The 14332-nt window shown below is 39.2% G+C and overlaps 1 long non-coding RNA gene across 1 annotated transcript; it reads left to right on the forward strand.

Moving 5' to 3' along the window:
* Positions 1–3781: 3781 nt before the first annotated feature.
* LOC105376422 (uncharacterized) lies at positions 3782–12716 on the forward strand. The gene is made up of 3 exons (XR_930675.1): positions 3782–4095; positions 6419–6744; positions 12645–12716. It is a non-coding gene; the product is annotated as an uncharacterized LOC105376422 (long non-coding RNA).
* The last annotated feature ends 1616 nt before the right edge of the window (positions 12717–14332 follow it).

The raw sequence follows: 14332 nt of genomic DNA on the forward strand, positions 1-14332 counted from the left end.
TTTCAATAACTTTTTTCTCTTTTTGCTATCACATTGATGTTTCCTCTGAATGTGAATGATGCTGAGCTGCTCTTACATGCAACCCCCTTCAAGCCCTTGACTTAAAGTGAGGAAGGAGGAAAACAGGGCAGCAAGGATTTATTAAAGTTGAACCAAACCAATGTTGGGCAGCGAAACTGTAAAAGTAGTGCCTTACTTATTTCATCATTCAAACATTCCCGAGGAAGAGCTAAAGTAGGTGATATGGTTTGGCTATGTCCCCCACCCAAATCTCATCTTGAATTGTAATATCCCCATGTGTCAAGGGCAAGGCCAGGTGGAGATAATTGAATCATGGGGGAGGTTTCCCCCAGACTGTTCTGATGATAGTGAATAAGTCTCAGGAGATCCAGTGGTTTTATAAATGGGAGTTGCCCTGCACATGCTGTCTTGCCTGCTGCCATGTAAGACATGCCTTTGCTTCTCTTTTGCCTTGCACCGTGACTGTGAAGCCTCCCCAGCCATGTGGAACTGTGAGTCCATTAAACCTCTTGCCTTTATAAATTACCCAGTCTCGGATATGTCTTTATTAGCAGCATGAGAACGGACTCATACCGTAGGTATTCCCAACAGGAACATTAACAAAGAAATTGATGTTATCTATTCATGCTTTTATGATGTTATGGACTTTATCTCCTTTCCTCCCTTTCTCTTCATAAATACTTGTGTGATATGATATGTGATCATGAGATGAATAAACTTATATTTTTGTTATGCAACATAGAATTTACACTCCAAATTAGTGGGGTTTTTGTCTCTTCTAAAGGTGTCACCATGGATGCTGAAGTCTTTGCATCAACACCTCATTGCATTACATGGCATTTGAGCACTGCATTGTTCAAAAACAATGCGATCTCCTGTTTTGGAATCACCTTCAGAGTTTATGTCAAATTATTTTTATTAGTCTCAGTAATGGGAAAACATTCGTCCTTAATGATGCATTTGATTTTTGGAAACAGCCAAAGATAATTTGGAACATAGTTTGATAGACAAAATACATGATCATAATAGATAATATTTTAGGATAAAAACAAAGTAGGAAAGCTAATGAAATTTTTTATGGTTTATAAACTGAAAATAATTATAAAAATAAGACATTCTAAGTTATTTTTGGGCAATGGACTGGGTTGAATAAAAGCATAGACTCAAATAATTATTTTGAAATAGCCAGTTGTTTCGAACTGTGTTTTTTCTTTGGTTTATTCTTTCATTAGTTCAGCAAACATGCCTTGAGGACCTACTAACTCTTAGACACTGGCTCTGAGAATACCAAGATAAAAAGACTTAGTTCTTGTCTTCAGAGAACTTCTAATTCCACTGAAAAATAGATATACAAATGCATGATTATAGTGTACATGTCTTATCTGAAAACCTTTGGAAGGTTTTGGAATTCAGAATTGTTCACATCTTAATGTAAGATGATGGTAATCTAGTTCCTATGACTGCATAACAATTACCCCCAAACTTAGTGGGTTTTAATAAAACAACAAAAACATTCACTTTTCTCATGAATCTGCATTTTGGGCAGGTCTTGGTGGCAGCAGCTTTTCTTTGCTCCATTTGGCCAACAGGTGGGATGCTTGCATGCCCAGGGCAGGGGTCACATTAAGGTTTATTTGCTGGCATGTCCAGTGGTTGGTGTTGGCTGGTGGTTGAAACCTTAGCAGAGACTGTGGGTCAGAACACCTCCATGTGACCTCACCATGTGGCCTGGGACATGGTGACTGGGTTCCAAGGGCAGGAAGTTCAAGAGAAAAAGGAAGACAGGCAGAAGCCATATGACCTTTGAAGACCTGGCGTTGAAAGTCAAACAGTGTCTATTCCACTGCTTTTTATCCATCAAGGCAGGCATAAAATCCCAGTTTCAAGGGGAAGAAGAAACAGGCCTCACCTCTTGATGAGAAGTGGACGTTTTGGAAGAATTTGTGGGAATGAGAAGTATTGCAGTGGCCATTTTTGGAGTGGGGCCACAGATACACAAACTCTATATGTACAAGTGTGTGCATCTATAGCCCCAGTCCAAAAATAAGCTACATAATACCATCTGTGGGGCCCGAGTCTCCACTCTGTAATGGAACCCATTAATATAAATGCAACAAAATTAACCAATATTCACTCAAAGTAGGATCCATTGAGATTATAAATATACATATAAACAGTTCAATTCAGTTTTTGCCAGCAAATGAGTTACTCAAAAAATATTTTAGTATTCCCTGGGAAGAGCTAAAAGAGCAATTCCCAACAGCAACATTAAAAAATAAATTGACGTTATCTATTCATGCCTTGATGACATTATGGATTTTCTCTTTATCTCCTTTCCTCCCCTTCTCTTCATAAAGTTAAATATGTGTGTGATACGATGTGTGGCCATGAGATTAATAAACTTATATTTTTGTGATGCAGAAGATACCCAGAGATTTTCTGGATTTCAGAATTTCTCATAAGTGACTTTTGAACTGTTATATAATCCATGCTGATGAAGGCTTTAGGTATCCACAATGTATCTGGAAGAAGAGACTGTAGAAGGAGTGGGGAGTAAGAAAACTTCAAAAAAGAGGTAGAAGGGATTAGGAAGGCGGTTCCACCCCAGAGAAACAGTATGTGCAAAGGAATGGAGGTCTGAGAGAGCATGGAGTGTCTAGAGAAAAGCAAGATTTTCAGAGTGGCTGGAATAATTCTCAGAGAATGTCAGGGGTCAAATCAGGAAGGGTCTTGGATGCCATATTAAGAACTTTAGAATTTATCCTATAGAGGTAAAATTAGAGTTCCATTAGGGATTTTAAGCACAATAAGGATGTGATCATATTTGTCCTTCAGAGTGATTATTTTGGTTGCAGATAGATGGTGGACTAAGGGGAATGAGAATGGGATTCACTTAGGAAGCTCTTTAGTAGGCAGCTAGAATGGATGATCACCAGAAATTAGAGCTACCATTTTCTTTTGCACTTCAGGTCAGAGTGAATTAAAAAAAAGCATGATGTGCCGGGTGTGGTGGCTCATGCCTGTAATCTTAGCACTTTGGGAGGCCGAGGCGGGTGGAGTTCAGGAGTTCGAGACCAGCCTGGCCAATATGGTGAAACCCCGTCTCTACTAAAAATACAAAAATTAGCAGGGCATGGTGGCTTGCGCCTGTAATCCCAGCTACTCAGAAGGCTGAGCCAGGAGAATGGCATGAACCCAGGAGGCAGAGGTTACAGTGAGCCGAGATCTTGCCACTGCACTCCAGCCTGGGTGACAGAGCAAGACTCCATCTCAAAAAACAAAAAACAAAACAAAACAAAAAGCATGATGTGAAGGCAAGTTGTCGACTTGTCTCTTCTTTGATTTTTGAATCCATGTGGTACATCTTCTTTACAATGTAAAAATAGCAGAAGGCATAGAATAACAAAGTACCCTGTACCACACCTCCTCACTCCTATTCTGGTTTCCTGAAGGCTACCAGTTTCACCCCTTTAAACCATTCCTTCTGGGATTTACCTCCTTGATGAAAATGAGCCATGTCTGTTACATGTAACAGAAAAAACAACTGAAAATGACTTAAATAATATTTATTTTCACACAACAAGAAATCCAGGTTGGATAGGTTTTAGACACTGTATTTGCCTCCATCTCAGCTAGCTCCTTTCATCATCACAAGATTCATGCTTTTATTCCAAGAGTCATGCAAAAATGAACAACAACAATGAATTCAGTGGAAGAAGAAGAGGGACTATTCTTGTGAGTCTTTTTGTATTGTTCAGTTTATTAGCAGCTAAGTCTTTTCCAGAATCTCTCCAGCTCCTGTCCCCTCACGTTCCTTTGGCTAATTTGGGTCCCATGCCCTGTGTTGGATCATCTGTTGTCAATTCACTATCGACACTACCCCTTCTAAGGTCTCCTCTGCTTTGAAGAAGAGAAGCCTGGAACTATGTTTGCCAGAATCCCCTTTGTCGTATGGTTCCAGGGTGTAATGTAACAACGAGAGGCACCCTTGAGCCATAGTGATGAAGAGATCATTCTCTAGAGTCAGTTGTGGTCAGAAGTATGAATAGGTGTGATACTGCTAAAAATGTCAAGGTGAGTTTTAAGAACCACTTTCTTTGAGTGCTTCAGGTTGAGAAAGTCAGTGGCAGTGTATTAGTCCATTCTTGGTATAAAGAACTACCTGAGACTGGGTAATTTATTTAAAAAAAAAAAAAGAGGTTTAATTGGCTCAGAGTTCCACAGGCTGTACAGGAAGCTTGGCTGGGGAGGCCTCAGGAAACTTACAATCATGGTGGAAGGGAAAACAGGCACGTCTTACATGGCTGGGACAGGAGGAAGAGAGTAAGGGGGAAGTGCAACACACTTTTCAACAACCAGATCTCATGAGAACTCACTATCATGAGAACAGCAAGGGAAATGTCTGCCCCCATGATCCAATTCCCTCCCACCAGGCCCATTCTCCAACACGGGGTTTACAGTTCGACATGAAATTTTGTTGGGGACGCAAATCCAAACCATATCAGGTAGCTTCTGTTACCAATGCTCCCTTAGGTTTTTTTTTAGGGGGGTCCTGGGGGGTAAACCACAAATTCCCTATACTAAAACCCTTAATATCTAGGCTACATAGAGTAGCTTCTGGTTTCCTGATTAATATATGAACCTTCCTAAACACGATTGATGCAAGGGCAATAAATTATAACAACTGACAGCCTAATCACGACTTACCCCCAAAGATATGTGGGAAGATTAACATTTGAACAAAAACTGCTGTTCTAACACAAAGAAAAATTGGGTGGGGGTAGGGGACATGATTCCAGTATGGAGCAAAATATAATATCAGGAAATTTGGCTTCTGGTAATAATTATGTAACTTGGTGGGACTAACCTTCCCACAGATGACAATGATAAAGTCTGGGTGAAAATATTAAAAATCACCTATCGGAAGATACCAGACAGAGACTGAAAGCAGGCAAAAACTGGAGAAAAGTCTACCCTTAAAAGGTTGGAACTATACCAATGTGATTTTTGAGTTTGTAGTGTTTGCCCTAAGATGTTCACTAATCGAGTAGGTGGCTGAGGATGAAGAAAGTTCCAGCCTTACTGGACTGTGGTGTCAGAGTACAGTGTTCAGGATTGAAAAGCAGCTAGGAAGCTGGGGATAAGTCTAGAAGGGAGGGCTTCATAGAGGCAACAAGCCCCCAAATTTGCATATACATTGCTCAAATTCTTGTCTGAAAACTGAAATATGCACATTAAAATTAATTCTCTACTAGAACAGAAATCAACACTCTTCTTAGCAATGTAACAGAATCCAGAGACTCTACAATGTGTCATTCATTATGTCTGGTATAAGTTAAGAAATGACTAAACATATAAGAAACAAGAAAATATGATACATATGCAAAAGAAGAAAAAAAAAAAACCCAGTCAATGAGAAGCAAACCTTAGGTGGTACTTAGCAGACAAGAATTTTAAGGCAGCTATTATAAGACTGTTCAAGGACTTACAGGAAAATACATGTAATGAATGAACAGATGGAGAATCTTAGCAGCAAAATGGAAACAATTAAAAGATCCAAACGAAAATTTTAGATGAAAAATACAGTAAATAAAATGAAAAATTTACTGGATATATTTAATGGCAAATTGGAGGTGGCACAAGAGTCAGTGAATCAGAAAATAATGAACGGAAATTATCCAAATTCAAGAAAAGAGGAGGAAAAGATAGAAGATATATGAATAGCTACTCGGGGAACTGTAATATAATACCAAGCAGTTGAACACATGAAATTGGACTTCCAGAATTAGAGAAGAGGGAGAGAAGAGGGAAGAAAAAAAAATTTGAAGAAATAATGGCCAAAGCCTCCCAGATTTAGTAAAAACATAAACTTACAGATCCAAAAGGTTAGTTAACCACAGCAGAAGAAATGCAAGGAAAACTACACTAAGGATGTGGCAGACTGCTGAATTCCAAAGATGAAAAGAAAGGAGCCAAGAAAAAAAAAAAACACCTCTATAGACTACATAAAGAGAAACAATAACACAAACGACAGCAGACTTCTCATCAGAAACAACAGGGCCAGAAGACTATGATGCACACCCAGGAAACCTTCGGTGAAAAACTCGTTGCCCCAGCTGTGAAGAGTGCTGTTAGTAGATAACTTTCATTTGTCCGCTTCTTTAGGAATTGCTTCAGCTGTCGAGAATTGCCTCACTCTAGGTCATACCCCTTCCTGAGGTGCCTACAGTCAGGGATCAGTCAATTGGGCCTGACCATCTTGGTCCGTGGCAAGACGTATCTGAAGGGCTGTTCTTGCTCCAGATCTTCCCGGGTGGTCAGCTGAGACTGTTATAGGGCATACATCACAGATGAACTTTTCCTTCTGACCACTCTTACTTTCTTCTTTTTCCCACAGGTTTTGATGCCAAGGAAATTCCTTAGTAAACATCTATGCGATAAACTCCATCTTGGAGTCTGTCTCCCAGGGAACCAAACCCATGACAACAATTGTATGACATCTTTAAGTACTAAAACCTAAATGCCAACCGAGAATTCTGTATGCAGCAAGATTATCTTGCAAAAAGGAAAGCAAAATATAGATATTTTCAGATAAAACCTGAGATCATGTGTCACCAGCAGACTTGTGCTATAGCAAATGCTAAAGGGAATTTTTCAAGCTGGAAGGGAATGACACTAGATGGTAACTTGGATCCAATGAAAATAATAAGGACACAGGAAATGGTAAATATTTGGGTAAATAGAAAAGGATATATATTTTGGTTTTCTGAATTTCTTTAAAAAATCATGGGATTGTTTAATGGAAAATAATAACACCGTATTATGGGGTTTGTAACATAAGTAGATGTACTATGACAAAAATCTCACAAAGTCTGAGGGAGTGGTAAATAAAACTAGAGTATTATAAGGTTCCTATATTTTATGTGAAGTAGTATGATTGTGACAAATTAGAGATGTATATTGAAATCCTTAAAACAACTGCTAAAAAATGTAAAAGACATAGCAAAAAAGTCAACAGAAAAATAAAAATGGAATACTACAAAATATTTGAAAAATCCAAAAGAAGGCAAGAAAGGAGGAAGAGAGGAATAAAACCTGGAAAAATAGAAGGCAAATAGCAAAATGTACACCTAAATCCAACCCTATAAAAATTACATTAAATGTACATGGATGAAAAAACTCCAGTTAAAAGGCAGAAATTATCAGACCAGCTGAAAAAGTGTGACTTAACTCTGTCTGCAAGAGGCACACTTTCACACTTTAGGTACAAAGACACCAATAGGTTGAAAGTCAAAGGATGGGCCAGGCACAGTTGCTCACACCTGTAATCCCAGCACTTTGGGAGGCCAAGGCAGGTGGATCACCTGAGGTCAGGGGTTTGAGACCAGCCTGGCCAACATGGAGAAACCCCGTTTCTACTAAAAATACAAAAATTAGCTGGGCGTGGTGGCATGCGCCTGTAGTCTCAGCTACTTGGGAGGCTGAGGCAGGAGAATCGCTTGAACCTAGGAGGCAGAGGTTGCAGTGAGCCGAGATCATGCCACTGTACTCCAGCCTGGGTAACAGGGTGAGATTCTGTCTCAAAAAAATAAATACATAAATTAATTAATTTAAAAAAAAGAAAGTCAAAGGATGGAAAAAGATATACCATGAAATCAATCAGCACAAAAAATCTGGAGTGGCTGTATTTATGTCAAACAAAATAGAATTCAAGAAAAGGAGCGTTAGCAGAGAAGAAAAGAGACATTTCATAATGACAAGAGTGTAAATACATCAGGAGGACCAAACAATTACGAATGACTGTATGCTAAATAACCGAGCTTCAGAATACATGAAATACAAACTGTCAGGATTATAGCAATAAAAAAATAGACAAATCCACAATCATTGCTGGAGATTTTAACATATCTCTCTCAGTAATTGATAGAACTAGGAGACAAAATCCATAAGGCTATAGAAGATCTAAACCATACCATTAATCACTTTGACCTAAATGACAACTTTGGAACACTAAGCCCAAGTGGAAAATTCACATTCCTTCCAAGTGCAAATAGAATGTTCACTTAGATGGACTAAATGCTGGGTCATCAAACAAGTCTCAATAAATTGTTGATAAATATTGGATTCTGAAAGAGTATGTTTTCTGACCACAACAGAATTCAATTAGAAATCAGTAACAGTAAGATAGCTAGGAAGTTCCCAAATATTTGAAAATTAAGCAACACACTTTTAAGTAACACATGAGGCAAAAAATAAATCATAAGGGAAATGAGAAAATATTACAAAGTTAGTGAAAATACAACATAAAAAATTTGTGGGTTGTATTTACATCTTTAAATGCTAATATGAGACAGCAAGAAAAGCTTAACATAAATTATCTTAAGATTCCAGTTTAAGAACCTACAAAAAGACAAGTTAAACCCAAAGCAAGAAGGAAAGAGTAAAAAGCAGATATCGATGGGAAAAAAAAATCCAGAAGCAATCTATAGAGAAAATTATAAGCAAGCCAGAAGGAATTATTTGAAAAGGGTAATAAAATAGATAAAATTCTAGCAAGACCTATTAAGAAAAAAAGGGAGAAAATATACATTTTCAGTGTCAGGAATGAAAGAGCGTATGGATATCACTACAGATCCTATTGGCATTGAAGGATAAGAAAATAGTGTGAACTATCTTAGGTTGATATATTAACAACTTAGATAAAATGGCCAAGTTCCTTAAAAAGTAAAATCTAAGTTGGCACAATATGAAATAAAAAATTGGAACAACCCTTTTTAAATACATTGAATTTATTATGAAAAATATTTTCACAGGCTGAGCATGGTGGCTCGTGTCTGAAATCCCAGCATTTTGGGAGGCTGAGGCAGGAAGATCACTTGAAGCCAGGAGTTCAAGACCAGGCTAGGCAATAAAGGGAGACCCTATCTCTAAAATAAAAAAAGCCTGGGCGTGGTGGCTCACGCCGGTAATCCCAGCACTTTGGGAGGCCGAGGATCACTTGAGGTCAGGAGTTCAAGACCAGACCAGCCTGGGCAACATGGTGAAACCCCGTCTCTACCAAAAACACAAAAAAGCCAAGCGTGGTGGCAGGTGACTGTATTGCCAGCTACTCAGGAGGCTGAGGCAGGAGAATCACTTGAACCCAGGAGGAGTTAATAAATAAGTATATTGGCCAGGTGCAGAGGTTGCAGTGAGCTGAGATCATGCCACTGCACTCCAGCCTGGGCAACAGAGTAAGGCTCTGTCTCAAAAAATAAAATAAAGGACAAAGAAAGAATTTCTGATTTTTTCATTTCTATTCAGTTGGAAGTTCATCACAATAATGCAAGACAAAGAAAGAAAAGACATAAAAATAGGAGAAAAAGTAATAAAACTTTCTATTCACAGACAACGTGATTGTTAATGTAAAACTCCTAAGGAATCAATAAATAATAACAGCGAAACTACTAGAATCAGTGAATGAGTGTACAAAGTCTTAGGATACAAAGTCAGTATGAAAAAATCAATTGCATGTCTATGTACTAACAGCAAACAATTAGAAAATAAAAACCAATTTCATAAGCTAAGGGGAAAAGTCAAGCTGGGAACTGCTTAGGGCAAACCTACCTCCCATTCTATTCAAAGTCATCCCTCTGCTCACTGAGATAAACGCATATCTCATTGCCTCCCTTGGGAAGGCTAATCAGAAACTCAAAAGGATGTTAATCATTTATCTCTTATCTACCTATGACCTGGAAGCCCACTCCCAGCTTTGAGTTGTCCCGCCTTTCTGGACTGAACCAATATTCATCTTACATATGTTGATTGATGTGTCATGTCTTTCTAAAATGTATAAAACCAAGCTATGCTTACCACCTTGGATACATGTCCTCAGGACCTTCTGGGGCTGTGTCACATGCACATGACCTTAACTTTGGCAAAATAAACTTCCTAAATTGACTGAGACCAATCTCAGATATTTAGTGTCCACAAAAGCATGCAACAGTATTTACTAATATATTTTTTAAAAGATGTTCAAGATCTTTACGCTGAAAATTATTTAATGTTTTGAGAAATATTTAAGAGACTCAAATAAATGCTACAGTTATGTGGGTAAGGGCCACATGAGAATAGGAGGACATGGAGAAGAGGGTGTGGAGAAGGGCAGCAGCAATGGTGACTGGACATTGGCTACATATATGGAGATAAATAAGTATATTGACCAGGCGTGGTGGCTCATGCCTGTAATCCCAGCACTTCGGGAGGCCAAGGTCACGGGATTGCTTGAACCCAGGAATTTGAGACCTGCCTGGGCCACATCGTGAAACCCTATCTCTACAAAAAAATAAAAAATTAGCCAGCTCTGATGGTGTGCACCTGGAGTCTCAGCTACTAGGGAGACTGAGGTGGGAGGATCGCCGAGCCTGGGAGGTTGAGGCTGCAGTGAGCCATTATCATGTCACTGCACTCCAGCCTGTGCAACAGAGCAAGACCCTGCCTAAATAAATAAAAAAGAATATTAATGATAGTAGAGACCAGCTTTCTCATTGTCAGAGAAGGGAATTACAAATATGGAAAGCAGAAAGCAAGAGTGAACCAATAGCTGGAATTGGTGTGAATTCATGGCTTTATAGAAAGATATATACATACGCATACATGTAATTTCTAGTTCTGCCCACTGACAAGACTTGAACATGTCAACACCTCAATATTATTGAGCACACCTAAAGACCCAATCTTGATTTCTGAAAACCATTCTCCACCAAAAACAAACAAACAAAAATATCCGAGGCTTTTTGATGAAATTAATAATTTGCAAACCGGGACAGGGGATGCACAAAATGAGCCTGGAAAGTTTTGTGCAAAAAAATAAGGAAGTCCCCAAAATAATGATGGGGCTCTGTTAAAGGGCATAGAATCCAGTTGGAATGGGCTCCCCGCTGGTCAAATCTGAGACAAACAACATCAAAATTAGTAGTAATCATAACAAATTATAGCCAAGCACGGTGGCTCATGCCTGTAATCCCAGCACTTTGAGAGGCCAAGGCAGGCAGATCATTTGAGGCCAGGAGGTCGAGATCAGCTTGGCCAATATGGTGAAACCCTGTCTCTACCAAAAATACAAAAATTAGCCACTTGTGGTGGCGTGTGCCTGTAGTCCCAGCTACTCAGGAGACTGAGGCAGGAGAATCGCTTCAACCCGGGAGGCGGAGATTGCAGTGAGCTGAGATTGCACCACTGCACTCCAACCTGGGTGACACAGAGCGAGACTCCTTCTCAAAGAAAAAAAAAAAAAAAGTAATCGTAACAAATTATAACTCATCAAATAAAACAGGAACCCATGAGTCCACATTTGGTATAAAGAAATGTATACCAATGTGAATAAATTGTAAGTTAGATGAGGAACAGATATTTACATAGGTTTACCTTACCTCTTCAAAAACTAATATTAGTATTAATTCCAGAGGGAAAAACAGTCACTTACAGTGGAGAATCATGGCCAACACCTTCTTAATCAAATGACCAAACATAATACTAACATAGAACAGGCAAGCCCCAACATTGAGGCTTAGCCCAGAAGGGTTCTTGGCTTTGCCTGGGAAAGAATTCAAGGGTTAGCAGGTGGTGTTAAACAGCAACTTGGCAGCATACAGCAGCAGGAAAGGTGCAGCTCCTTGTGAAGCAGGGTTACCCCAAAGGCAGTGTGCCAAGAGAAGCAGCTTGGAGGTGGTTCTGCACTAATATTTATGCCTGTTTTAACTATACACAAATTAAGGGGCAGTTTATGCAGAAATGTCTAGGATGAGGGTGGTAACTTCCAGGTCATCAGGCCGTTGCCATGGAAAGGCCTTGTAATGTCCAGGTGTTGCCATGGCAATGGTAAACTGATATGGCATACGGATGGGTGTATCTTATGGAAAGCTGCTTCCCCTGGGAACCTGTTTTTGCTAGTCCTCAATTTGGTCCTGAATCTGAGCCCTGCCTCTGGAGTCAAGTTTTGCCTCCTACCTCAATATCACTGGTAATGGGACAAATAGACATCAGAATCCCCTGATGGAATGCCATGGGAACACAGCATCACTTCCATGATTCACAACCCAAATCTAGTCATGAGAAAACACTGGAAAAACCAAAATGGTGGGATATTCCTCAAAATAACTGTTCTATAGTCATCAGACTTGTCAAGTTCATGAAAATCGAGGAAAGAGTCAAGAACGATTTCAGATGGAAGGAGAGTAAAGAGATATGACAAATAAATGCAACGTATAATTGTGGACTAGCTCCTCTTGTATTAAAGAGATTATTGGGACAACTAGAAATTTAAATAGGGTAAAAGGATTAAGTAGTAGTAACGTATTAATGTCAACTTCCTGATTTTGATGGCAGTGTTTTGACTGTGCAGGAGAATATCCATCTGCAGGAAATATACACAAAAGAATTTGCTAACAAAGCTGTAGGTTTTTGGCTTTCTCCTGTCTGCTAAGTAAGTTACCACTCCATCATCTGTTTTCCACTTTTCTAAATTTTATTTTATTGATTTATTTTATTTTGTTAATAATCTTTATCTGTTATTTCCCCCCCATTCATTCTTTTTGTGTTTATGTGTTTTTTAATTACTCAATATCATTTTTGTTTGGTTTCAGGAGTGAGCAAATAAAAATGCTTCTGTTTAATCTACCATGAAAAACTGGAAGTCTCTCTGAGCTGTCATAAATCACATCACTGTGTGAGTCATAGAAGTAGAAAGTGAAAGGGAAGGTATCATAACTGGAAAAAAAAGCAGCAGTTGGAGAGAGGGGACAAATACAAAAGATATTTATATATCTTTATTTATTTATCGAGATGGAGTTTCGTTCTTTTTTTTTTTTTTTTTTTTTGAGACGGAGTCTTGCTCTGTCACCCAGGCTGGAGTGAAGCGGCGCGATCTCGGCTCACCACAACCTCCGCCTCCTGGGTTCATGCCATTTTCCTGCCTCAGCCTCCCAAGTAGCTGGGACTACAAGTGCCCGCCACCACACCCGGCTAATTTTTTGTATTTTTAGTAGAGACGGGGTTTCACCGTGTTAGCCGGGATGGTCTCGATCTCTTGACCTCGTGATCCGCCCACCTCGGCCTCCGAAAGTGCTGGGATTACAGGCGTGAGCCACCGTGCCCAGCCGGAGTTTCGTTCTTGTTGCCCAGGCGTGAGTGCAGTGGCGCCGTCTTGGTTCACTGCAACCTCCACCTCCCAGATTCAAGCAATTCTCCTGCCTCAGCCTCCCGAGTAGCTGGGATTACAGGCATGCCCCATCACGCCCGGCTAATTTTTTTGTATTTTTAGTAGAGACAGGGTTTCACCATGTTGGCCAGGCTAGTCTTGAACTCTTGACCTCAGGTGATTTGCCTGCCTCGACCTCCCAAAATGCTGGGATTACAGGCGTGAGCCACTGCACCCAGTCAGATATCATTTAAACAGAACTCTACTATTTTATATCCTTGTATACATAGTCCTAACGAACATGCTTGTTTAATCATTCTGCTATACAGAGAATGCAAAAAATTGTTTTGCACAAACCCATGTGGATTGTTATAAAATAATACGTTTTATTGCTGCTTAAATGCCAGTCCTCCTCAACAAAATATTAGCAAATCAAATTCAACAATGTATAAAAAAGTATACACTAGGACTAAGAGGGATTTGTTTCAGGTTTGCAAGGCTGGTTCAACATTTGAAAACTGATCGCTGTAATCTATCACATTAGCAGGCTGAAGAAGAATCCCATGATCCTATCAGCAGATGCAGAAAAATAATTTGACAAAATCCAACACTCATTTATGAAAAATCTTTCAACCAACTAGAAATAGAAGGGAACTTCTTCAACTTGATAAAGAATATCTATTTTAAAAATCCCTAGAGCTAGCATCATGCTTAATGGTGAGAAACTAGATGCTTTCCCACTAAGATCAGGAACAAGGCAAGGACGTCTGCTGTCACCACTCCTATTCAACATTGTACTGGAACTCCTAGATAATGCAATAAGACAAGAAAATGACATAAAAAGTGTATAGGTTGGTAAGGGAGAAATAAAACTGTCTTTGTTTGCAGATGACATGACTGTCCACATAGAAATACCAAAGAATCAACAAGAACTGGCTAATAAGTGATTATAGTAAGGTTGCAGGATACAAGGTTAATATGCAAAAGTCAATTGCATTCTTATATACCAGCAATGAACAAATGGAATTTGAAATAAAATACATAAAGCCATTTACACTAGTACTCACAAGTTAAATACTTAGGTATATATCTAACAAAATATATGTAAGATCTATAAGAAAAACTACAAAACTC

Source organism: Homo sapiens, chromosome 10 (genome assembly GCF_000001405.40).
Source record: "Homo sapiens chromosome 10, GRCh38.p14 Primary Assembly".
In the NCBI taxonomy this organism is placed as follows: domain Eukaryota; kingdom Metazoa; phylum Chordata; class Mammalia; order Primates; family Hominidae; genus Homo; species Homo sapiens.